General features: G+C 39.1%; 1 protein-coding gene, 1 long non-coding RNA gene and 1 pseudogene across 6 annotated transcripts in view; 2 read left to right on the top strand and 1 right to left on the bottom strand.

Annotated features, from left to right (window-relative positions):
• Positions 1 to 25,710, bottom strand: part of ITPR2-AS2 (ITPR2 antisense RNA 2) — a 103,881-nt gene that overhangs the window by 31,624 nt on the left and 46,547 nt on the right. The gene's annotated exons all lie outside the window — the stretch shown is intronic.
• ITPR2 (inositol 1,4,5-trisphosphate receptor type 2) overlaps positions 1 to 25,710 on the top strand; it is a 497,843-nt gene that overhangs the window by 442,014 nt on the left and 30,119 nt on the right. For all 5 annotated transcript variants that reach the window (NM_001414174.1, NM_001414175.1, NM_002223.4 and 2 more), the window contains one exon: positions 3,587 to 3,747. In NM_001414174.1, coding sequence (NP_001401103.1) covers positions 3,587 to 3,747 — 161 coding nt within the window. The remainder of the gene's footprint in view (positions 1 to 3,586; positions 3,748 to 25,710) is intronic.
• RNA5SP354 (RNA, 5S ribosomal pseudogene 354) lies at positions 17,448 to 17,583 on the top strand (annotated as a pseudogene).

Genomic DNA, 25,710 nt, shown 5'->3' with positions numbered 1-25,710 from the left:
AGACATCTTTATAGTTGTCAGCATCAATAGATGCTCAATAAAAATTAAGTACCTTTTATTACCATTCACTTCTTCTCCACTTACCATAATCATGTACTGAGGCTGGATTTTTCAAGCTTTGCACCTCTTGGAAACCTTTTAAAATGACCCTCATCAGAGTTCATTTTGCCCTTCTTTATGCTCCCTTGGCAGTTTATACCTCTTCAGAATATAACGCAACGTGCCTGTTTCCTCTACCGTATTACAGATTAATTGATAGTAAGAACCTAATTTTTATAGCCCCATTACCTTGCAACTGGTAGATGTTTGAATTGAATTCTGGGAAAATCTACTTTAACATTTTCTCTCTTTTGTTTGTTTTGTTTAGTTTGTTTTTCTCTCTTTTGTTTTTTAGTGTTTTGTTGTTGTTGTTGTTAATAGCTCTATTGAGATATAATTCACACATCATATAATTCACCCATTTAATATGTACAATTCAGTGGTTTTTAGTATATTCAGAGTTGTGCATCCATCACCATAATTGATTTTAGAACATTTTCATTGTCCCAGAAAGAAACCCCATACCCTTTAGCCATCATCTGATCCCTAACCTTCCATCTCTGCCTCGGCTCTACTTTTTGCCTCTGTGGATTTGCCTATATTGGACATTTTATATAAATGGGATCATAATATGTGGGCTTTTGCACCTAGCTTCTTTCACTTAGTAGGATGTTTTAAAGGTTCATGTTGTAGCAGGTATCAGTACTTCGTTCCTTTTTATTGTAAAAAATTATCCTGTCATATGGATATACCATATTTTATCCTTTCATCAATTAATTGACATTGGGGTTGTTTCCACTTTTAGCTATTATGAATAATGCTGCTATGAACATGTACAAGTTTTTATGTGAACATACATTTTCAGTTCTCTTGAATATATACCCAGGAGTGGGTTATGCTTAGTTATATGGTAACTCTCTGTTTAACCATTTGAGGAATTGCCAAACTGTTTTCCAAAGTAGCTGCTGCACCATTTTACATTTCTGTTAGCAGTGCATGAGGATTCTAATTTCTCTACATCTTCACCAACACTTATTATTATCTGGTTTTGGTTATAGGCATTCTAGTGGAACAATATTTTAGTAGTGAAATATTATTAATTCAATCAATCAGTATTTAATTGAGTGCCAACTATGTGCCAAATATCATTCCGAGCTTTTGGGACCGTTGGTGAAGAAAAGAAATATATCTGCCCAGGTGGCTCTTATACTCTAGTGGGAGGACAAACACAATACATAATAAATGTAATAAATTTTTATCCAAGTTGCTGGATGAAATAACATTTCTTTCTCCTTTGCTGAGTATCAGACAGGCTTTTTCTTACACAATCATTTTACCTCTTTATCTTAGAGATATAATCCAATTTAATTTAATAACTTCGATTTGGCTATATTCAGTCTATAAGGAGGTGGTAAGCACTATAAGAAAAAGAGAGGAAAAGGGAAAAGGTGATCAAGAAGGTCAGCAGAAGGGTTATATTTTTAAACAGGATGATCAGGTTAAACCACATTGAGATGGTGAGATTTCAGCAAAAATTTGAAGGTGAATGAGTTACTTAAAGAGATGTCAGTGAGAAGAGTTTTGTAACCAGAGGAAACAACCGTTCCAAAGGTCCTGAAGTCCAAAGGCCCTGTGTTCCAAAAAAAAAAAAAAGCAAAGAGGCCAGTGTGGTTGCATGGGAGGTAGCAAGGGAGAGAACAGTGAGAGGTAAGGTTAGTGTGGCTGTGAGGCCAAGTCACATAGGATTTAGCAAATACATATTGCATGGGACTCATACTAAAGAATTATTTATTATTTATCTGAAATTCAAACATAACTGACCATGCTGTTGCTTATCTAGCAACTCTACTTGTAGGTCCTTGTAAGGACTTTGACCTTTATCTTGAGGAGGTGGAGGAGCCATTGTTGGGTTTACAACAGAAGAGAGACACCATTTCTCTTAGGTTTTTAAAGGATTGCTCTGGCTGCTGTGTTGAGAATGGGCTGTGGAGAGTAAAGATGGAAACAGGGGGGCCTGGGAGTCTATTGCAGTAATCCACATGAGGGATGACAATGGCCCAGACCAGAGTGTAGCAGCAGAGCGGGTGAGAAGTGGTCAGATTCTGGATATGTTTTGAAGGTAGAGCCAAAAGCATTTCAACATGGATTGGATGTGCTGTGTGAGAGGCGGAGAGGATTCAAGAATGACGTCCAGGCTTTTGGCTTGAACAACTAGAACAGAGCTGCCATCGAATAAAAGGGGAGGACTGTGGGTGAAGCAGGTTTAGGGAAGAAAATTGTAGTTTATTTGGGCATGCTGAGCTGATTATAGGTCAAATAAGATGAGGCCTAGCCATCAGCCAGCAGAATCTTATAGTATTTTCCATACAGATATCCAATAATGTAAGTAAAAAGTCACCCCTTCAATGGGGACAGATTTTTTACTTATTGTGCTTTATATCTTATTATTTAAAAAAGGTCTTCAGGCTGGGCAACATTGTGAAGCTCCATCTCTACAGAGAAAAAAAAAAAGATACAAAAATTAGCCGGGCATGGTGGTGCATGCCTGTAGTCCCAGGTACTTAGGAGGCTGAAGTAGGAGGATCAATTGAACCTGGGAGGTTGAGTCTGCATTGAGCCACTGCACTCCAGCCTGGGAAACAGAGTGAGACTCTGTCTCAAAAAAATAAATAAATAAAAGGGTCTTCTACATCCCTGAGTGAACTTACAAAAAATGCTTAGAGAAAGAATAGCCAGGGTTGGATTTCAGTTTCCTGGTTTCTTCTTCAGTATCTGAGCTGTAACAACCTAACTGAATCCCAACATCCCACTTCACTTGGCACTCAAATTCATGTTTCCATAGATGTTTTTCTTCATCTCTATTCATTTCTTTTCATCTATTCTCTAACTTTGAGAGAAAAGAATTTTATTATCTAGGTGCTTTCTTTACTGTACTTCCAAAGGCTTAAAAATGTGCCCTGGAAATGGAACAGATCACCCCCTGCCCAAAATGCCTGGAACACGGTACCCTAGAGGGCTGGCATAGTCTGAGCACTTGCTGTCCTCAGCGTGTGGACGGCCATCTTCTTTGTGTTCCTTTCACTGATTCCAAGTGGTTTTGAACAGATGACTGTCTCAATTCTTTCCCTCTTTTAATCCAAGTTTCTGGGTAAAATGACATTTTTTTTTTCTGTCCTGATTAGCAAGCATACCTTTTCCTGCATGATCATTTTTACCTCTTTTTCTCAGACTTGTGGTACAGTTTAATTTGAAAATTTTGATATGGCTGTATTTAAAATTATCTGCAACTTTTTCATCTATTACAGGACTGTGCATTTCCAAGGATCCATGGGGAAAAATAAATGTTAGTTGGGAAAAAATCTATAAACGATGGCCTCTTTTCTGGAGGTCTTGTGTACTGTGTTGTTTTTAATCATAGCATTTTAAATTGGCACACTCTTACTGAAAGCATTTTTTTCACAATAATTATTGTGTTTTGTTTTTATGCTAAGAAGCAAGTACTGATTAAATGACGAATTACATATATTGTGTTGCCTGTGTTTTTCAGGACTTGAGAGAGACAAGTTTGATAATAAAACGGTTTCATTTGAGGAGCACATTAAGTCAGAACACAATATGTGGCATTATTTGTACTTCATAGTCCTGGTGAAAGTTAAAGACCCAACAGAATACACTGGACCTGAAAGTTATGTGGCTCAAATGATTGTGGTGAGTGACCAGAAGGTTTTAATTTGTGACTATATTGTATCTTTTAGGCTTTCATCTTCTCTACCCTACCATCCTCCCAAAATATGAAGATTGTAGCAATCATTTTTTGTTAACATTTAAATAGGCCTGTCAATCACTGAAGAACATCTACACTGACTAAGTCATTGGTTCCCAGTAGACTCCTTGGTTATTCAAACCAAATTTGAGTCTCCAGTGCACAGATGATATTTCCTGGATTCTCTTTGCAATGACTAGCACCATCTCAGTTATGTTCATCACCTTCTGACATCATACCTTTTATCATTGCTGATGTCCCACTTCCTGAAATCTGGAACTTTCCCATTGTTAAATATGAACAGAAGATTCATACCTTAAGGAATCCCTTGAATTTCAAAAATCAAGAGTTTAAGAAATTGAATTGTGTTTGGGGATAGTATGATGTTCAGTCCTAATGGGAGAGCACTGATTTTCCATCAACACATACTTCGGATTGATTTACCAATGTTGCTGATGAATTTGCACTGATCCTGCCACATCTAGTTGCTTATAACTCCTCAGCAAGATTAGGACAGAGGATGTGGTTGTCCATGATTTGAAGTTTCTTCTGTCTCATAGAAAATTAAAACAAATTGGCCCGAAAGGGAAATTAAAGTTACAACTTCAGTGTATATGTGTACACATTTAGTGAGTATCGTTACATCTGATATAAATGTTTGCATTTTTATAATTAAATATAGCTATAGATTGGATATTCCCCCCACCCCCCAAAAAAATCTGACAAAATTGTGTTCACCATTTGAGAAAGAGGCCTTAGATGACTCATGATCCTCCTTGCTACTTGGTCCTAAGGAAAACACTTAATAAGCACCAATATTTGCACCAATGCTGAAATGTCAGCAAACTTATCATCTGCTTAGGAAGAGACTGTAGTTAGGGAGCAACCAAAGAACATTTTTGGAGGATAACATATTAATAATTATAAGTTCATATAGTCATAGTTTACCTTACCTGTCAATATTTACATGTCACAAAAGAGCTACATGTAAATTGGATTTATATATTTCAGCATTTTTCATGCTTTGTTATTAATGACTTGCATTCTACTCTAAGTTGTTTTCTCTGCATTCTTCATTGGACAATGGACAGAACCTAACATTGTTTGTCTTCTCCACTTTTGCCTTTCTGCCTCCTCCTCCTTTTAAATCAGAGGAAAAAGGTAATCATTTTAAGGATATATATTCATGGTCATCATTTATACTTTCTTGATCTCACTTGTGAAAAACATTTTGTTTCTGCTTGCTGAGGGTAAAAACATGTAAAACATTATATTTAAAATGGGACCTCACATTGCTGTCTTTTTTCAAAGTTTGAGTAAGTTTCATCAATATACATTTATTAGACTCCTGTTATATGCCTTGGATGAATAGATGTTTGGGTATACTATACACTAAAGAGTATGATATATTTCCCCTCTGCCAAGGAACATAGAGCTTAGTAAGAGGAAGGGGGGAATAACAAACCCAAAGTAGAATATGCCAGGTTCTACAAGAGAAGTCCAAATGAAAACCTGCGAAGGCTTCAAGATGGAGAGTGGCATCCAATGAGAGCAGGTGAAAGGAATTGATGGGGGGTGGGGTGGCAATATGCCCGAGAGAGGAGGATTTCTGTAGATGGGGAGTGTCTGTCTATAAGAGGGAGTAGCCTGAATAAAAGCATAAACATGAGACACTTGGACACTCAGGGGATCGTGAGTTGCCCAGTTTCACTGGCACATGGTCCACTTATAGGGAAACTCTGAGAGATCTGACAGGAACTGTAGATTGGAACTTTGAATAAAAAAGGTAGAGGCATTTGGATGTTATTTCATCAACGAGGGGAAACCTCTAAAGGTTATAACTAAGGGAATAATGTGACCTAGGCAAAAAGGCAGGCAGCAGTGTGCAGGCTGGTTTGGAGAGGAGAAAGGAAGTTAAAGATGGAATTTGGCAGCAGATGAGATTAGGGGTGAGGATATGTGAGGAGCAGGGGAAGTCAAAGAGAGCAAGATGAGCCTGAGATGCCAGCCAGTGTGTGCCTGGTCATTGGGAGAAAGGCGGTGGGTCATTTCAGAAGGTATCTTTGTTAGGGAGGCAAGCTGGTCAGAGAAGAATTCTTGTTGATTTTGAGGTGAGACTGGAGGCCAGGAGTCATGGGTAGGAGGAGCAGTGTTGGGGCAACAGCTTGAGCCTTGGAGCCAGGAGTATCAAACCAGTGCTCTGTCTCTTATCTGCTGGGTGGTCTTGGATTTCATGGATGAGTCTTGAAACCTGCCTGAGCTTCTGCCTCCTCATCTAAAGGGAGGAACTGCTGCATTGCCCACAGGAGGGTTGTGCACTCAGTGAGATGATGTGTAGAAAGTGCCTCATAGAGTGCAGAGATCCTCTCTGTAAATGATGGTTCTCACTGTGACAGTTCACATAGAATGACCATAGAAGCTGTCAGATTAGAGAATGGTGGGGAAAGGGAAAGAGTATAAAGACAGAAGAGAAAACTTGAGACAGAACCCAGGGGATCCCCCATTCAGGAAAAAGAAGAAAGACAAGTAAAGAAGCAAGAAAGGAGACAATAAAGAAGGCATAAGGAGAGCCAGGAACAGGAGTATATCTAAAGCCAAGAGTTGAGGATTTCAGTGTCAGAGTCCAACAGCATCAATTGCTGCAAAGAGGCCAGAAAGAAGAAACAGGTCAAAGCCTTTGGATTTTATGACCTAGAAATCACCGGGTGACTTTTTTACCTTAAGAGAAGACTGCTGTGAAAATGTTGACCCATCTCTGGCCTTAACATTAAAAGCAGCATTTTACCAGGCACTTGTACTTGAATTTTTAAGTATCCAAGTACTTATCCATGTTTCTCCCCAGCCTCTTCTGTCAGAGCTTTCTCCAGAGCCATGACAAGAGGGATAAGAACTCCCAAGCTTATTCCAACATGAAACGTTTCATTTTCATCCAAGCAGTGCACATCCAAGAGAACAAGCTCCATTCCTGAATTTTAATGGCCAGGAGAAGGAAGAGTGATATTAACTCAGGTCTGATGGAAATGAAAAGTTGTTTGCATGGAAGGTTACTTATGGAAATAGCCTCTTTGGAAAACATCTAAAAATCTGTAGCTAAAAAACCCATTTCAGAAAATCTGTTACTCCAAGCTCTGTGGAAATGATGGCCTTCTGACTATCCTCCTAGAGAGAGAGAAGATTTTGTAGCACGTGGAAAGTTGAAGCACATCTACAGTTCAGTTCAAAGACTGTTCTTTCTCTTCTCTTTCTCTGCTCCTGAGGTAGCTACTCTTCAAACTTTGGTAGGAAATCTTCCAGACATTTTCTGCCACTCTTATTTTTGTTCTTTAAAAATAGGTTCACTTAACAAGTTGATTTAGGTGCTTATCAATAGGGCTTTGGAAGAAGTTTCAAATTCTTTATAATTGATGTTGCTTTTACTTTCATGGATTTATGCAAAGGAAAATGTGAAAAGTCCTTCCTCATATTAGTTCACAAAACAACTCATCTGAATCCTGCTACACTGTTTATGTAAATCTGATTTGTACCTTGGGACCCTTAGAAAATGCCTCCTACCTTTCGGAGAAATGGGAAAAACAAGAATAGAGGTTGGGTGTGGTGGCTCACGCCTGTAATCCCAGCACTTTGGGAGACTGAGGCGGGAAGATCATGAGGTCAGGAGATTGAGACCATCCTGGCTAATGCGGTGAAACCCCATCTCTATTAAAAATACCAAAAAAAAAAAAAAAAAATTAGCCAGGCGTGGTGGTGGGCACATGTAGTCCCAGCTACTCGGGAGGCTGAGGCAGGAGAATGGTGAGAACCTGGGAGGTGGAGCTTGTAGTAAGCCGAGATCACGCCACTGCCCTCCAGCCTGGGCAACAGAGCAAGACTCCATCTCAAAAAAACAAACAAACAAACAAACAAACAAACAAAAAAACATAGAATAAGTTCTGGGAATGTTCCTCCCTCTGTATATTTTTTCACCTCCAATGCTTCAGCTTTGTTACCATGTCAGTAAGGAATATTTATACTAATATCCATTAAAGCACTGTGTTAGTCTGTTTTGCATTGCTGTAAAGGAATACCTAAGGCTGGGTAATTTACAAAGAAAAGAGGTTTATTTGGCTCACAGTTCTGCAGGCTGTACAAACATGGAACTGGCATCTGCTCAGCTTCTGGTGAGGCCTCAGGAAGCTTTCACTCATGGCAGAAGGTGAAGTGGGAGTAGGTGTGTCACATGCAAGAGAGAGAACGAGAGAGAGGGGAGGGAAGTCTTTAACAACTAAGTCCAGAGTGAACTAATAGAGTGAGAAATCACTCCTTACTGTAGGGAGGGTACCAAACAATTCATAAAAGATCTGCCCCCATGACCCAAAAGCCTCCCACTAAGCCCCACCTCCAACACCAGGGATCAAATTTCAACATGAGGTTTGGAGGAGACAAACCATATCCAAGCCATAGCACCTCAGTTTCTTCATTTGTAAAATTCAGATAATAGAGAATATTGTATCTATTGATGACATTTTAATATGAAGTTTGGAGGGGACAGATATCCATACTATATCAAACATACATTGTAAATAAAGTAATACATTGCTTCTAAGGGTTAGAATCGCAGGAAACACATATGTGTCTTTGTATCCATCCAATAATAGGATCGGGGTCTGAAATATTAATCAAAACTTAAAACTTTCTTACCTCTGTTTTCAAATTCTTTTTTTTTGTGTGTGTGTGTGTGACAAATTCTTGCTCTTTTGCTCAGGCTGGAGTGCAGTGGCACAATCTTGGCTCACTGCAACCTCTGCCTCCCAGGTTCAAGAGATCCTCCTGCCTTAGCCTCCCAAGTAGCTGGGACTACAGTCATGCACCACCACACCTTGCTAATTTTTGTATTTTTAGTGGAGACAGGGTTTCACCACATTGGCCAGGCTGGTCTCAAACTCCTGACCTCAAGTGATCCACCTGCTTCGATCTCCCAAAGTGCTAGGATTACAGGTGTGAGCCACAGCACCTAGCCTTACCTTCAAATTCTAAACCAAGCTATTTAAATAGCCACTGTTTGATTATTTGAATTAACATGGAGCATCTTCTGGGATATTGTTCAGGGAAATATGAGTAGATCAAGGTATTTTGGGGATGTAAACCCTCATGTTTGATAAAATAAATGATATTTTGAGCTAGTGTTTGCTGGGAACAGAAAGTAAGAAGGGAAAAGGAGCGACCATACAGGAAAGTAAAAATAATAAAAGAAAATTTAGAAAACTAGAGGAAAAGGTATGAAAGGATAAATCCTCCATCCCATACTGATAATGGCCTTTGAGCATCACTAAGCCCCTTTGCTTCTCCCATTAAGCAAAGGATGATGACTGAGGAGGAACAAACAAAAATAGACATCATTAGAAAAAATACCCAAGACTTTTAGATGTTTCTCTAACATTTTGGGGTCATTTTCAGATTACCAGTGTTCATTTGCTGAGGTATATTAACGGATATTTGTACTTAATTTGAAAAATAGCAGGATCCAAACCAGAGGTCTGTATAAGAGCAGGCGGCATGCGTGTCTGGAGAGCTGCTGCCTCCACAAGTATTCTGACAGCACTGGGCTGCTAGTGAGACCTGGATGGCCACCCTCCCCATGTCATGGCCATGGGTTTTCGGGAACCGTTTCCTCCTTTTACTGCATCACAGTTGCAAACTCGTCTATTTATTTTTCTCTTGATTAACAACTGCACTCTGACATTGCAGCAGTGTTGATGAAGACAATTTAACTCATGTTTTTGTTAACATAATAATTGTCTGTCGTAACTAAAATATAAGTTTCTTGAAAGCTATAATCAGGTATAGAGAAAATCTTTGTTATGCACAATACCAGGGCAGGTAATATCTGTAATATGTATTAACAGCAATTCACTAAACATTGAATGTCTCTGTATGCTGGCACCTGTGCTAAAGATTTGCTGTATAAAGATAAATAGGAAATTGCCTCTTCTCCCACGAAACTCAAAACATTTATTGAATGAATAAATAATAGGTGAATTAATAAATAAATGAATGGTTTCTTTTTAGCCCTCTGGGAGTTGGACATAATTTACAGAAAGATATACCAAGATAGATGTGAGACATTGCAACACAAATTTCTCATTAGTCAAATGCTATCTGTCCCTTCTTTTGAAAACTGAAGGATAAAAATACAGCAGGAAGGGTTATGTCCCTTGACCCAAATCAGAGGGCTGATTTGAAAGATGAGGCTGTAGGCACATTAATCCATCTGTGGCCTCTCTCATCGTGTCTCTCCAACCCAGCCTCTCCCTCCCACAGGAGTAGGCCTTCCCCTGCTCTCCTAGCAGAGGGGTGGGGATGCACACTGGTGGGGTTTTCAGCATAACTCACCCTTAAGAATGAATTCCTCCTTGCCATGATCTGTTAAGACCTTAAAAAGAAAGGTCATACTTTAATGAGATAGGAAATAAATCTACCCATCTAGTCACCCAGTACTTTAGCCACATAAGGAGGGGAAAGAACTAGCAATTTCCCAAATGTTGTTTTCTGAGTCTGGAAATCAAAATCAGTCTTGTTTAGTTAAAACATATTTTTGAGCAGTAACTGTTGGAGGGGAGATGTTTGGGCTCATGAAAGCCATCGAGTCTTCTAAGATTTCTATGCACCCCTCCTGCTTTAGCACCACTGGCCAACTTAATTTCTGCATTATTGTTATGTGTCATAATTATGAAATTATATGTTCTGTTCTATTACTTCTAGTTTACACTAATTTTGTAATTGGATCTCATTAAGCCAATTATGTAACTGCTTAATCTTTAACTAAACACTATTTTAAAGACTTCAGAACTTAATTTTAAATGTTTACATTTCAAGGAAAGCCAAGGGGGTCTTTGCAGCTCAGAATGCACAATTAAAAAGTAAATTTGAGCGTTCAGGGAGATACCACCCTCACTTCCCACATGTTAAGTCCAGACATGTGTCTGTAATTTAAGATGGATCTTTTAAAATGCCCCTCTCTGGATTTTTATTGTCACTATGGGATCTGTCCCCTATGTTATTCTCATTTTCTCTTTAGTATTCATGTGTAAGACCATGAATTACCTCATTTTTGCACAGATGTTAACATCTTTCTATTCCTCTTATTAGTTTGTGAAACAGAGACAGAAGTAATAGGTACTTAACAGTGTGGCTGAATGCTGTTAAGATGAAGATGAAGAAGAAGACTTCATCTTAAGGATTCTGGTCCAGTGCTTAGGTTGTTAGACTTTGGTGCTGGAAGTGAGGATAAAAGGATTTGGACCAACTAGTGTTTAAATGATTTTCATGGGTAGAATTGCCATGGAGAATAAGAATGAGGGAAGGCAGGTAAGACACTGAACCTGAGATGTTCTAGGTTACTTCCTGAATTGATCAGAAACTGTAGATCTGCTAGTGTTCGGGTGATTGGCCACAGAGTTACAGAACCCAAGTGGCTTTTGTTAGCTTTTCTAATCAGTGTTTAAGGAGAAGTTCCGTGTGAAGGAACAAACCTGAGCATATGAATCTGAAGTTTGATTTCTTAGGATTTCCATTTACAAGATTAGTGACTTTACTTATCTCCTCTGTACTTCAATGTACCCATTGATAAAATATGTATAATGGGCCAGTTAGAACTCAAAATAGAAGCCAACTGAAGTGAGCTAGGACTCTGGAGGCCTCTGGCTGTATCAGGCATTAACCCTTCAGTTGTTGGATCATGCAGAGGAGGCGTGGTGGGGATCCCAGAGGCAGACTAGGGCAGATAAATCTGCAGGGGTATAGGGGGAGGGCGTATTTGGAGGGCTTATGAGAGGGGCTTACTTGACAATCAGGAGATATTGCAGTACAGCCATATCTTTGCATACCAGCTAAATATTGGTACTGGGTATAACTGCACTTTTTTTGCAGAGCTGCTATGAGGATTCAATAAAATCATGCCACTAACAACACTACAACTAACATAACTGACATGGATAAGTATTGACTGTGGATAATAGCCACTAATCATGCCACTAACAACACTACCACTAATATAACTGACATGGGTAAGTGTTGACTACTTATCCAGCTGACATTAGATAAGTGCCTGTGCTATGCTAAGTGCTTTACATGCATGATCTCCTTTAAAGCCTCGTGACAACTCTAGGAGGCAGATCCTATTGTTCTTATTATCCCCATTGTACACATGAGGAAACTGAGGCTCCGAGAGGATTGGTAGCTTGCCCAAAGTGGCACAGCTTGCACAAACGGATGCCATGCCCATAATGTGCCAGGTGCATGCAAGTGGTCAATAAATGTCTATTAGTATTCGATCCCATACAATGTGTAAAGCTAGAAGTTGTGATTCCTTTGGGAACAAGCAAGGCCAGCTGTACCCAACCCTCTCGGCAGCGCACATGGCACTTTACAGAAGGACTATAAAAATTCAGTCCACAGGGCAGGGAGTAGACCTGGCTAGGAGACAGGAAGTCAGATGACAATCCTACAATGGCAGGAAGGCCTGAGAGGAATTCAAATAGGAAAAAAAGAGAACTCGTTCAGAGCTGGTTGGCAACTGCATACTTCCTACAAAGATTAGAAGTATTACAATTACAATTATTACAATTGCAGGCGAGAAAGAAAAAGAGGCTGCAGGATGTTTCAATTTAATTTGACGAGTATTTACTGAGGAGAACTATGCATGAGGCACTGATAAGAATAAGAATAAAATATCATTGCCCTCCCAGGACCACACTATAACTAGAAGGACAGCTTTATTCACCAGAAATGACTGTGCAAATCAGAACGAACTCTGGTACAGACATTCAGCGGCCAGAGAAACCTTAAGTCAAATCACACCACTGCACCCCTGCTTAAAACCTGTCCATGGCACTTAGATTAAAATCCAGAATCCTTCACAGACTGCTTATATAGTCTGGCCCCATTCTATATTACCAGTCTCATTTCATCCCACGTCCCTTAGCCAACAACAGTCAGCCACATTGGCCCTTCTTTTCTCAAAAATGCCATGCTTTTCCCTGATGGGAGCCTCGGCCCACGTGTGCCTTCTGCTTGTGGTCATGGTCCTCTGGCTCTTTGCAGTCATGGTCCTCTGGCTCTTTGCATGTCTGTGCCTTCCCTGACATCCCCATTCCCGTTACTTCCTAGCCCACCACCCTTTATTTCCTTTAGCTTTATATTGATCTGACCTTAAATTGTTTTTATATTTATTGGAGTGTTTATTCTTCATCAGTACCATATGCACCCCATTAAGGCATTTACACTTCTGCTTTGTTCTCTTCTGTATTCCCAGCACCTAAATTAATGCCCAGTATATAGTAGGCACTCAGCATAAATTCGTTGAACAAAATAAATAAGATATAGAGCCACTGGAGCACAGAGGACAGGTTCTTTCTGGTCGAAGGCACTAAGGACAGTTTCACCGAGAAGATTTTGAGGAGAGTCGAGCTAAAAATGAGGAGGATTTTGATAGAAGGATGGAGGGGAATATGTTCCAGGCAAAGTGTGTATCTTAAAAGAAAAGTGTGAGAACAAGAAAGGAAACGAATTAAGGATATGATATGTGTTAGCAACTTTGCGTGTTATCTTATTTATACCCATTTTATGTGAATTGAGGCTCAGAAAAATGTTAGTCATCCCAGGTGCTCTGTAAATAAGTACTTGAACTAGGATGCAAATCCAGATTTTCCTGGGACCGATGTCTATGATTTTACCTTTAGCTATGCCTTCTTCTAGTGAATAATCAGGTAAAATTTGACAAAGGCTAAATATATGTAAATCAAGTATTGGAGAACAGGTAGGGAAAACCTCAAAACCAAAAGCCAAAAGACATCCTTTAGAAGGAAGAAAGCTGTTTCTGTTTCTCCAATATTTTTAGGAGTTAGAATTTTTAATCTCTAAGCTGCATTCGTGGAGGTGTGATCTAAAATGCCTTGAAAATGCAGGACAATGAATCATTTTTTATTTTTTAAAGATGTGTTTATTCAACAAATGCAGATTGAGTGTTATTGTGTTCGAGGTGCTAGGCTTGGTTTAGAGATGCAGAGTTGAGGCAGATTCTCTAACTTCCCTTGGGAAGCTTTGGTAAAATAAAGGAAATAGATAAAGGAGTGATGATAACACACGGCAGCAGTGGAGTCTGCCAGAGCCTAGGGCTTGGGAAGGGAGGCTTCATGGAGGTCATGCCTGGATGCTTGAGGCTGATCGGGTAAATGAAGATGGAACACGTAGAGGGAGCAGGTAGGTATGTCTAGAAAAACAGTGAGGACATTTGGGAGGGCAGGAGGCTAAAGTAGTAACCAGGAGCCAGGTTGCAAAGGGCCTTGTGTGCTTACAAATTTTTACTTTATCCTGGGCCGGGCATGGTGGCTCATGCCTGTAATCCCAGCACTTTGGGAGGCTGGGACAGGTGGATCACCTGAGGTCAGGAGTTGGAGACCAACCTGATCAACATGGTGAAACCCTGTCTCTATTAAAAATACAAAAATTAGCTGGGCATGGTTGCACACTCCTGTAGTCCCAGCTACTAAGGAGGCTGAGGCAGGAGGATTGCCTGAGAACAGGAAGTGGAGGTTGCAGTCAGCCACTGTACTCAGGCCTGCGTGACCAAGTGAGACTTAGTCAAGAAAAAGAAAGAAAGAGAGAGAAAGAGAAAGAAAGGAAAGAAAGAAAGAAAGAAAAAAAAAGAAAGAATTGATTTACTTTATCCTGAAAGTTAAGGGAAGCCCTGCAGAGATATTAAACCAAAGAGACAGGAGCAGATTTACATTTTAGAAAGCATGCTCTATAGCAGTATACGAAATGGATTCAAGGGAGCCATCCTGGAAGAAAAAAAAATAAACAGGCAGAAAGATTTTATTACCCAGCAACAATAATGAGATCTGGTACTAAGGAAATGCCACTGGAAATTGAAAAGAAATGATGGCTATGAAAAAATTAAGGTAGAAGTTTTAATGAAGGTAAGGGGAAGACTGTTTAGGTCCCTGACCTCAGAGAGTCAGGGGAGGGAGGGTTGAGCACTGGGGAGAGGGAAAGGGTTCCACAGGAATAAGTTGAGGAGATGTGATCATCTCAGTTTGGCTTATAGTGCCTAAGTGCATATGTGGACTTGGACATTTTCAAGGCATTTTCATTTTCGAGATATTTTAGATGATACCTCCACAATTGTAAGTTAGAAATTAAGAATTCTAATACAAAACTGAGTATATAGGTCTGTAATTCGGATGAGAAATCTAAAATGGACAATCTACTAAAAAAGGTTAATTACCACAAGGATAAGATTTTAGTGTCTTTTTTGAGACCGGGTCTCGCCCTTTTGCTCAGACATGATCCTGGCTCACTGCAGCATCGGCCTCCCAAGGCTCAGGTGATCCTCCTGCCTCAGTGCCCCCAAGTAGCTGGGACTACAGGCACACGCCACCATGCCTGGCTAATTTTTCTATTTTTAGTTGAGGCGGGGTTTTTCCATGTTGCCCAGGCTGGTCTCGAGCTCCTGAGCTCAAGTGATCTGCCCACATTGGCCTTCCAAAGTGCTGCCAGATTTTATTTTATGCACTAGGGCATCCCAGGAGAATAGAAAAGTGCCTGGTATATATTAGATACTCAGTAAAGATTTCTTAAATGATCACAAAGATTTGTAAGTTGCTGGAGTATACTTGATAGCTGAAATCACAGATTTAGGTAAGGCTATGCAAAGGAAACTATATAGACTGAGAAATTCAGAAAAAGCATGCCCTCAGACTTGGAATAGCACAGACCTATCCCTGTTATTTAATAATAATGATGATAATAATGTCAAAAGTCTACTACTCAGATTTTACTCATCAAAAAGTAGAACCAGGAGAAAAACAGTTTTCATGGTGGGGCTCTGAAAGAGGATGTTGACTTTTCATTAGCCAGTGAACCTAGAGGTGGTGTGGTCAGTTTGTGGATATCATGTGATCTGACATTGATTACATTTTAGTATGAAATTATGCTGCAAACCCAAATGTTTAGAGCAAAGTAACTTGGACATGTTCAGTATATGGAAGCTTTTTTGAAATGATAACCCATCCTAAGTCATTTATTTTAGACTTATGAAGGGATGTTCACTTCTCTGATTCTCATAACCTTAATAAAAAGATTTCCTCCTGCTGTGCTGAAGAAAATTCTTGTTTCCCAGTTCTAGTCATTACGGTAAGATCTTGTTCAATTCTCAGTTGGCTTTCTGGAATAATAATGTCCACATTGTTAGGACTGATACATTTTACTTAGAAACTCTGGCTTTCTTCCAGGGAGTAACAGATGCCATCAAAATGTAAGTTGTGGGAATAAGAACTATATACTGTAAAGCCACACGAATTCTGTCTAATGGTTTTTAATAGGCTAGCATAGCCCATGCCATATTGTAAGTAATTAGTTAAGATGGCAATTAAGCTGAAATACTACTCTTGTTTTAGATAAGGTTATCAGGCAACCGCATGTCCATAGGATTTGGGACTAATTTTATCTAAGGGAATTTCTGAAAAATAATTGCTGAATTTTACAAAAGTGATTCAGCACTTGGATTTCAGAGATTAGTCATTTAATATCAGGTTAGTGGAGTCAGCTACTTTGATGGGATTTAGAGATCAAGATGTTTTGGAAATAATAGCATCTGAGGTAAGTTACCGCAGCTCTCTGAGTCTGTTTCCTCCTCTGTACTCCCCTTTACTAGGATTCCTGTGTGGATTAAACACAATCACATCTATCCTAGCACCTAACATGGTGTCTGGCTCACAGTTACTGTTCAACAAATGTTTAATCTCCCACATCTACTTAAAATATTTGGCTAAATAAATAATATGGCTAACTTTAAATACTATTTTGTGGATTCAAAACATTCTTAAACCATTCAATGTTCAAAGTCTTCACTGATTCTACATAGTGTTTCTTTTATAGGTTAGGCAAAGGTCAACTTCCATATGTTCAATAAATACATAGCACCTATAATGTCCTAGATGCTGCGCCCACATCTGGAAAGGGACGCAGAGGAGATAAAGACAGCCATGGCCTGTTGCACAGTTACCTGTTTAGAGCTGAAGGCAGATCCTAGACAAGTCACCACAGGTTTTACATAGCTAAATAGTGAGTATTACCATCAAGCGAAGGTCAGGCAGAGGGGCTTCCTATATTGTTGTCTGACACAAACCTGTTTGGCATTTGTTCCTTTGTCTAACCAAAAGTTGGGAGCTTCCATAAATATTTGCATTGCTGGAACCATTGAATCCATTTGAGTTTACAAGTGATGTTAAGACAGATCTTACCACAAAGAGGTGTGGTATGACACCATCCGGAGTGCCGCAGAGAGGACATGAGGACAGACATACTGTGAACAGGAGTGGTAGGAGCTAATTCTGAGTCAGAACCCAAATTACATAAGAAGAAATGTCATCTAGTTTACTTCTATCCTTACCCTGGGAGGCTAGGGGCAAGCTCTGCCTGCTTCTAGGTTATATCATGAAAGCAACAAAGGATGTTTATTTCATTTTCCAAAGAATACATTTTGGGCTCCTTCAAGTGAAGAACTTGAGGCATTTTTCACACATGTAATCAGCTTTTTCATTTTTTCCAACATTTGAAAAAGTTCCAGTATAAAGCACATATTTTTTGCTTTAGAAATAATATTCTGGTCTGTGTCCATACCACTCTGAATGCAACCGATCTCCTCTGATCTCAGAAGCTAAGCAGAGTTGGGCCTGGTTAGTACTTGGAGAAATAATATTCCGGCCCTCCAAGTTTCCTTCTGAATTGGGGTTCTACTGTGATTGTTAACTCTTAAGAAAGATTTCAAGTGTTTTTGCCATTGTGTGAGGTTATTGATAAGCATTCCAAATACAAATGACATAAAAAGCACCAGTTCACCAGAACCTGAAATTCAAAAATGGCCAAATTCAGAGGTGGTTTATTTGCAAAGGTACCTGTAACTTTTCAGAGGTAATTACTCAGGGATTTCTTTTGACTCTCTTGGCAACAGGTTGTGATATAAAGGCCCTGGGTCCTGGATGCACTAGGTAGGCCTATGACGTTGAGAAGAGACTTGATTGCCACAGATGTGGATTCTTCATTCATAATGAGAATCCAAGTGACTTCCATTATCTCTTCTGTCCTGGTTCTAAAATTCTGATAACTCTAAAATATTTAAAATATTTCTTTACATGAAGTTGTGGGTATATTAATGTTTATTTTATCTTACAAACCAGAAGCAACTGGGACAGGAGTTTTAGAGTGGTCCAGATTTGACTATTTCCATTGTATTCCTTGGGGGGATCATATGTGGATCAGCTTTCCCCGGCTGTTGTCTGGCTGTTAAGTTCTGATGTTATGCAGTCCACATGATTACACCCTTGTGCTGCGGCCTTTTCAGTAGGACAACACTGATTATGGACAGACAGTGAATTTTCTTCGAAGACATGGATCCAGACCCTCTAAGAGAAAATTAAATGGTGATTCTGGCTGGGGTCGGGGGGCAGTGGGAGGCGCGAGGAATTTCCACTGTCTCAGGCTACACCTATGCTGAAGGGCCTGTGAGAATTTCTGTTTCCCAAGCTTAGGACCCAGTACCATTTGGAAGCACTAAACCCAGTTTGAAAATGCTGTTTTAGAAAACAAAGACATACTGCCAACAGATATATAATAAGATAACCCATTTTATTGGGGTGATAAAAGTTATTCTTACTTGAGAGTATCACAGTTGCCTCACTTTATTTTCTGATGTATAACTCACTTGTGTCCAAGAATAAATGAAATAAGAGTCTGGATTGTAGAAAGAGCGTTAATGGAAGGGGTGCTGTTGTGTGTTAGACACAGTGCGATGTGGTGGTTTAGACAGACTCAGGGACTTTGGAAGCCTTGGGCAGGCATTTAACCTCCCTGTACCTCAGTATCTTCATCTGTAAAATGCGTAAACATCCCTACATTCAGCGTTTCCTAAGGATTAAACAATTTAATGTTTTTGCATTATCTAACAGACAGTACATTTTAAATTAAACTGTAAAATATGTATGAGTGTTAGAATAGCATTTCAGGGCTCAATAAATTATTATTTATTCAACAACTTTTGCTTAGTGCCTACCATGATCTAGGGCAATGGATAAGATCCTGCAGGAGAGCACAAATAAAGGATGAATAAATTCCCTGCTTCAGGAATCTTGGGCCTAATGAGAAATAATAATATATGGTCATAAAGATGAGTTAATAACAGGCAGCAATATTTGATGAGCTAAGATGAGGAGCTGTCCTCTAGCATGGGAAGAGGACCTTGTGTATAAAGGAAAATAGGCAGATCTGAATAATTGAAGCTCAGAGAGTAGGTGAACCCACCTGGATTAGGTTGGAGCTAAAGGGAAACAGGAATTAATTCTCAGGGTAAGGAGTTCCTGTTTGATCCTTCAAACACAGGAGAGGCATTGATGACTTTTATGTAGAGGAATTATGTGATTTTTTTAAAAATCCGATTTTAAGGAAGTATCAAAGAGTCTATAGCAGGATTTCATGAAGGGGCAAGAGTCTGGCAGAAGGAAAATCAGTGACCATCACACTGATGAAAAATGTGATAGAAGGAACTGGAAATAGGAAGGGATGGGTGTGGTGGAAAGAAGATTTGACCAAGAGTGACAATCCATAAACCAAGAGGGCTCGGTTCCCGTACACCCAACCCCGTACCTGCCTCTCTCACTAGGCTCAGCCTTCCTGATCTTCTTTATGAGGCTTTCAATTCTGCCAACCTTGGCTTCTGCTGTTCCCTTCACCTGGAATGCTTATCTTCAGAAAATAAAATCTTCCTTTTGTGGCCAATCCACCTAAAGACCTCAGGCCCTCTATAAGAGCACTTCGTCATAGTCTATCCAAAGCGTTTACCACTATCTCAAATTACTTGCCTGTGGAGTTGTTACCTGTTTTTCACTGTCTTTGTTTCCTTGTGAACTGGACTCTTGATGTCTTGGTAACTGTTTCCCCAGTACCTAGAACTATTTCTGAAACCCAAAGGGTCTTAATAAATATTTATTGAGTAAATGAATGAAATAATTGATCTCTAAGGTCCTTTCTAGCACCAGTTTTCTGACTTCCTGACTTTAGGTGAAAGAGAACTTAAGAAAACTGCTTGCTGACAGAGTATTTAGGAGAAAGGGAAAAAGAAGACTAAGGTTTTGAGTTTGGGTGACTTGAAGAATACTTTTAATGACTGAAATATCAGTTTTTATCCTCTCTCCTCAAACATTCAGGCACACTGATTTTGGTTGCCAGCTCATTCCATGTATGGTGTCAATGGGCCATCCAGAGGGCAATGATATCCTGGTCCCTGGAGACAACAAAACTGGGATGTTTCAGGAGAGAAAACAGAATGAAATTGAAGATGGGAGTTTTGGAAATCATACATAAGACTCGTGTTTGGCCGGACGCAGTGGCTCACGCCTGTAATCCCAGCACTTTGGGAGGCCGAGGCAGGCGGATCACGGGGTCAGGAGTTCGAGACCAGCTTAGCTAACATGGTGAAACCCTGTCTCTACTAAAAACACAAAAATTAGCCGGTGGTGGTGGCAGGCGCCTGTAATCCCAGCTACTGGGGAGGCTGAGGCAGGAGAATCACTTGAACCTGGGAGGCAGAGGTTGCAGTGAGCCAAGATCACACCACTGCACTTCAGCCTGGGCAACAGAGCAAGACTCCATCAAAACAAACAAACAAACAACAAACAACAACAACAACAAAAATAAATTCGTGTTTGCCAACTAGTAGTAACAGACTGATTTATTTGAAACTGTTAGTGGAGCTAGTTATATTTTAGTGAAAATTCCGCATGGGGGAAAATAACCCAAAAGAAAATGGTAAGAGATTTTAGCAGGTAAGTCCATTTTATCATGTAATATTTACATGGATTTGCTCATTGTTTAGGAGAGAGTGGCAGTGGAACTAAAACACTCCCTTCTCATTAGGACCTGGCTGTGGATAAAAATTTCTCCCCAGGTCCATCCCATCTTATGCAGTGACAATGACCTGTAATGCTATCCTGACACCAACTGGTAACATACTGCAGTATAATTCCCGGGCTAACCACCCAGAGTCAGCACAGACCACACAAGTTCCAGGGCATAGTCCTCAAAAAGATGCCCTTACTTCATACGCCAACTGCTTTTTGGGTGACCCCAGGCCACTCATACTTTGGACCAAATAGGTACAAATTCAGGGGTTACCATCATCCCTTCAGTTTGATAATTCACTAGAATGACTCACAGAATTCACAGGAGCACAGTACTTGCCATTACAGTTTTATTATAAAGGACACAGATCAGCAACAGCCAAATGAAGAGACACATGGGGCAAGATCTGAGTGGGTTTTGAACACAGGGCTTCTGTGCCCTGTCTTTGTGGAATCTGGGTACATCACCCTTCTGGTACGGTGATGTGTTTACCAACCAGGAAGCTCCACTGAGCTTCAATGTCCAAAGTTTTCACAGGGGTTTCATTACGTAGGCATGATTGACCTAATCATCTGCCGTATAATTGAGCTCAGTCTCAGCCCCCTTGTACTCTCCAGAGCCGGGCTGACTCAAAGCTCTCTAATCATGCAGTTGGTCTTTCTGGTGACCAGCCTCTCTCCTGCTGAGTCATCCCATCTCTTAGCCTAAACTCAGATGTGATCCAAGGGCTCATGAATAACACAGAAACTTCTGTCATTTGGGAAACTCCAGGGGTTTTAGAATCTCCCTCCCAAGAATCAGGGACAAAACTAGTATAAGTCTTTATTATACATCAGGTGTACTGCATTTTTCTGCACATTCATTTGTTGCTTTTTAATTTAAGCACTTAATTGGAAAGAAATTTTAAATCTTAACTGAAAGTTAGCCCTTCTCATTCCTCTATCCCTCTTATACACGATGTACATTCATTCCATCAAAATATCTCTTCACATTATTTAATAAAACTGATATTAATCCACTACTTTCTAAAACTTCCATCATTCTAATTCAGATAGCCTTCAACTGTCACCTAGACCATGACAGGTGCCACTAAACTGGTCTTTTTTCTTCCATACTTGCCCCTCTACTGACTATGCCTCAAAGAAAAAAATGAAAAAAATCTAAAACATAAATCAGAATATGTCACCTGCCACCTGCTCCAAACCTTCCACTGGCTTTCTACTCTACATAGAATAAACCCGAACCTTCTTGTCCAGTCCTACAAGCTCTGGCACCTGCTATGCTCTGCCCTTTCCTCCCATTCATAGGCTCCAGCTACATGGACTTTGCTGTTTCCATAATATGCCAAGCTTGTTTCTACCTAAGGGCCTTTGCAAATGTTCTTCTTTCAGCCTGCAGCACTCTACTTGTTCCTTTACATCCTGCACATCTCTCCTTAAATGTCATCAACTCAGAGAGGCTTTCTCTGGTCACCTTTTCTAAAGAGGTCCCATCTCCCCACTATGTCATTCTTTATCCTCTTACCCTGATTTTTCATTTCCCCAAAACAGCTATCATAATCTGACATCATGTTGCATATTTGTTTTTTATTGTATGTCTCCTTCATTTGAATGTAACCTGCATTAGGGCAACAACTTTGTTTTTTTCATTGTTGTATTATCGGGACTTAGAGCAGTGGCTGGCACATAGTGGGCGCTTAGTAAATATTTGCTGAATGAATAAATGACTGAATAAACAAATGAATGAACAAGAAATAAGTAATGATATATCTTTAGTGACTTAGCCTAGATTCTTAATAATGCAAGTGATAGCTAGAGTAAAAATGTATGGCAGCTGAAAGCACAGGTATTAGTCTGTCTCAGTTCACATGCCAGCTTGGCCATTTCCTAGCTGTGTGACCTTGGGGAATTTGCTTAACCTCTCTGAGCCTTATTTTGTCTCTTTAAAAAAAGAAAATGTAGTAATATTATCTACCTTTACATTTAAAACTGTATTCAGAGACCTTTTATAAAAAGGAATATACTCTCTCCCAATACCTATAATTCTTCAATCTACACATATTCAATGGAACCTGTGATTAAAGGATCCAACAGATCTAAGATAGACCTTTTATATATACAAGACTAGATTAGAAACTAAGAAATATAAAAGAGTTTGGCCAAGTTACTGCTTCTTGCTTCCTTTTTTGAAAAACAAGGATGTTGAATTAAATCTATCCAAAGACTCTTTGAGTGCTGATATTTTGTGGTGTTGTAATTAAAACCACAAGTCTGGACAAACTTGGAAGCCAGAGAATGATAGGGAAATCATATACCAAGCTCGAAGAAAAGCAGTGGGCTCTCTTCTTTATTATAAGGTTCTGCTCATTTAAATAGTCCCCAAAGAGTCTTCCAATGTCAAATAAACTACTTTGCAGAACATAATCAGAAGAGCATGGTTCAGTTGGCTGTGATTAGGTTGCCAGCTCTGGTCTGCAGGGGAAAATCACAAAGAAAATGTAGTCGAGGCTCGAGTTGGATTTAGTCAACAACCCATGTCAGCCATCTCTTTCTCCAATGAAGTACTATCTAAGAAGGACTAGAAATTTGTTGATATCATTAGTGAAATATAGTGCACTGTGTAAGAAGAACTAGAAACAAACAGTGGTAGAAACATGGGCTAATACACATGAATACAATTTCTCTATCTGGCAACCCATGCAAATTATTTGATCTTTTCAAATCGTAATAACACAGAAAGTCTTCCCAGAAGAAATAATTTGTTCCTACTGCCCATTCTTATTTGTTCTAAGTTTGTGTATTAGTTTGGCTGTATTGCCAGATTACTTCTCTTCATATAACTTCATTTTTCATTTAGTTTCCCTATCTGCGTTAAAGGTTTTTTCAGATTTTTATATTTGATTGCTAACCTGCTTTGTGAAATCTTATCCTTTACTATCTTCATCTTGCATCTCTGGTTTTTTTTTCCTCAGTGATTTGGTGGATGTGAAAATGATAGAAGCTAAGATTACATCATCTTTAATAAAGAAAAAAATATAGGGTATGTGGAATGCAGGTGAGCCATGGAGAAAGAAATCAATCAGGTTGGCAAATTGCATCAATGGGACAAGGTGCAAAATGCTTGTTTCATGCAGTATTTATTGAACAAGCTTGTTGAAATATAGTTAAAATGTATATGGAAAAGTAAGGAGCCATTTTGTTCAATTTAAATGACATTGATATATTTTTTTACATCATAAAGTCTTTCAATATTTCCAACAACAATCTTTGGCACAGTACTTTATACAATTTTCTCAAAGGCCCTTCAGAGATAAAAGTATATATCTAAGGTTATAAATTGGGTATATCCAATCTACATATAATGGAAGCCACTACAGTCACTCTGTAGAATTCAATAGATCAAGAATTATATTCAGGTATTACATAGATAAAGTATTCTTGAGAATTTGGGAGAAGTTGAGGTTTTGAATAATCCTCAAAGCCCTCAGTTGACTGTCATTTTTTTTAATCGCTCCCAGTTCTAATGGCATCTGGATGATTTTTTGTAGGACCAAGTAATCAGCTCATGCTCTCTTCTCTTCACTGTGGAAAGGAAGTCTTAATGTTGTTTTTAGAGAACCAGAAAAATGTATTCTTCCAAAATTGGCAGAAAGGGAAAAATGACTTTTCTTTTTTTATGGTTTTGGAACTACCAAATAGGCATCCTTTCGAGAAGTGACTGCTCTACAGGTTGCTTTTATTGCTGTTTCTCAAAAGGGAACATTTGCTTAAAGTACACCCTCCCAGATCAAGGGGGTCCTTCCCTCCTGTGGCAGAGGTAAATAGGGGTTTACAACGGGAAGAGGAGTATTCTCTTTAAAACTTACATTCTCTTTAGTCTTCCCATCCTAAAAGAAATCATAAAACAACAGTGGCGAAGAACTTGGTAGATTGTATTTGAGTTATTTCAACAAAAAGAAAATGTATTTTATTTTGAAGATAGAGGAGAAATAGGACCACAGTTGGGTGATTCTTGGTAAAGACGTCCCTGAAAAATACAAACACAATCTGAAGCTACTTTCTGGAAAACAGATAACTATACACATCAAAATATCAAACTAAAATTAGCAGAAAGAATTGTTGGCAAAGGTTTTGTAAAAGAACAGTTGCACAGGGCATGAAATTGTAGTGAAAGTTCACATAGCCTTTCATTACTTATTTGTCATTTAGTTGGATTTTCTTATTTGTCCCTCCTGTTGCTATCATTAGCCATTAAGCTAGCAGAAACAACATTTTCCACATCACATGGGCAATGTCTTTAGAGTTTGCAAAGAGAACAAGGAAAGCAGGCTACACTGTTTCATGAAAAGACCAACCGATGTAGGAAAATAAGAATATTTGTTGTATAATCACTGAAAACCTGTCAGCAAGCAGAAGAGGTTTAACTGGTAATTACTTTAAAATAGATTTCTCTTCTGGTGCCTTTTTAAAGATATTCTACGTGTTATTTTTATTTTGTAGTTTAAAATAATTTATAGTTTTCATGGTAAATTTGACAGTGTGCAAGAATAATACTGAAATAAATAATATTCAAAAAGAAATGGTTTCTAAGCAGGCAGCAGCTGTGGGATCAGTGTTTGTGTAAGACTTTTCCTTTGCACGCTCATTGGCTTTTGTGTTTAAACACGTTGGCTGCCCTCTTCATTGACATTGTCTTAGTCAGATAGAATTGTTTTAAACAAGCATTCTATTTAAACTCCTTAAGTGATAGATTTGCCTTTTAATTAAAACATTATTCCTTTAGCTAGTATGCAAGTATTATCCACAGTTTATTTTCCAAAGAAAACACCTTCTCTTTCCTACTTCCTAACTTCTAGAATAAATGCACAGATGAGCAAATTTATTTCAGGATTTAAAATGGTAAACTTACTTATATAATGGTAAACAAGCATGAACAATTTAACATTTCTAGGGTGTCATGTGTACTTAATGAAAATT

This window comes from Homo sapiens, chromosome 12 (assembly GCF_000001405.40).
Source record: "Homo sapiens chromosome 12, GRCh38.p14 Primary Assembly".
NCBI lineage: Eukaryota > Metazoa > Chordata > Mammalia > Primates > Hominidae > Homo > Homo sapiens.
This window is presented reverse-complemented; position numbering and strand designations above follow the sequence as displayed.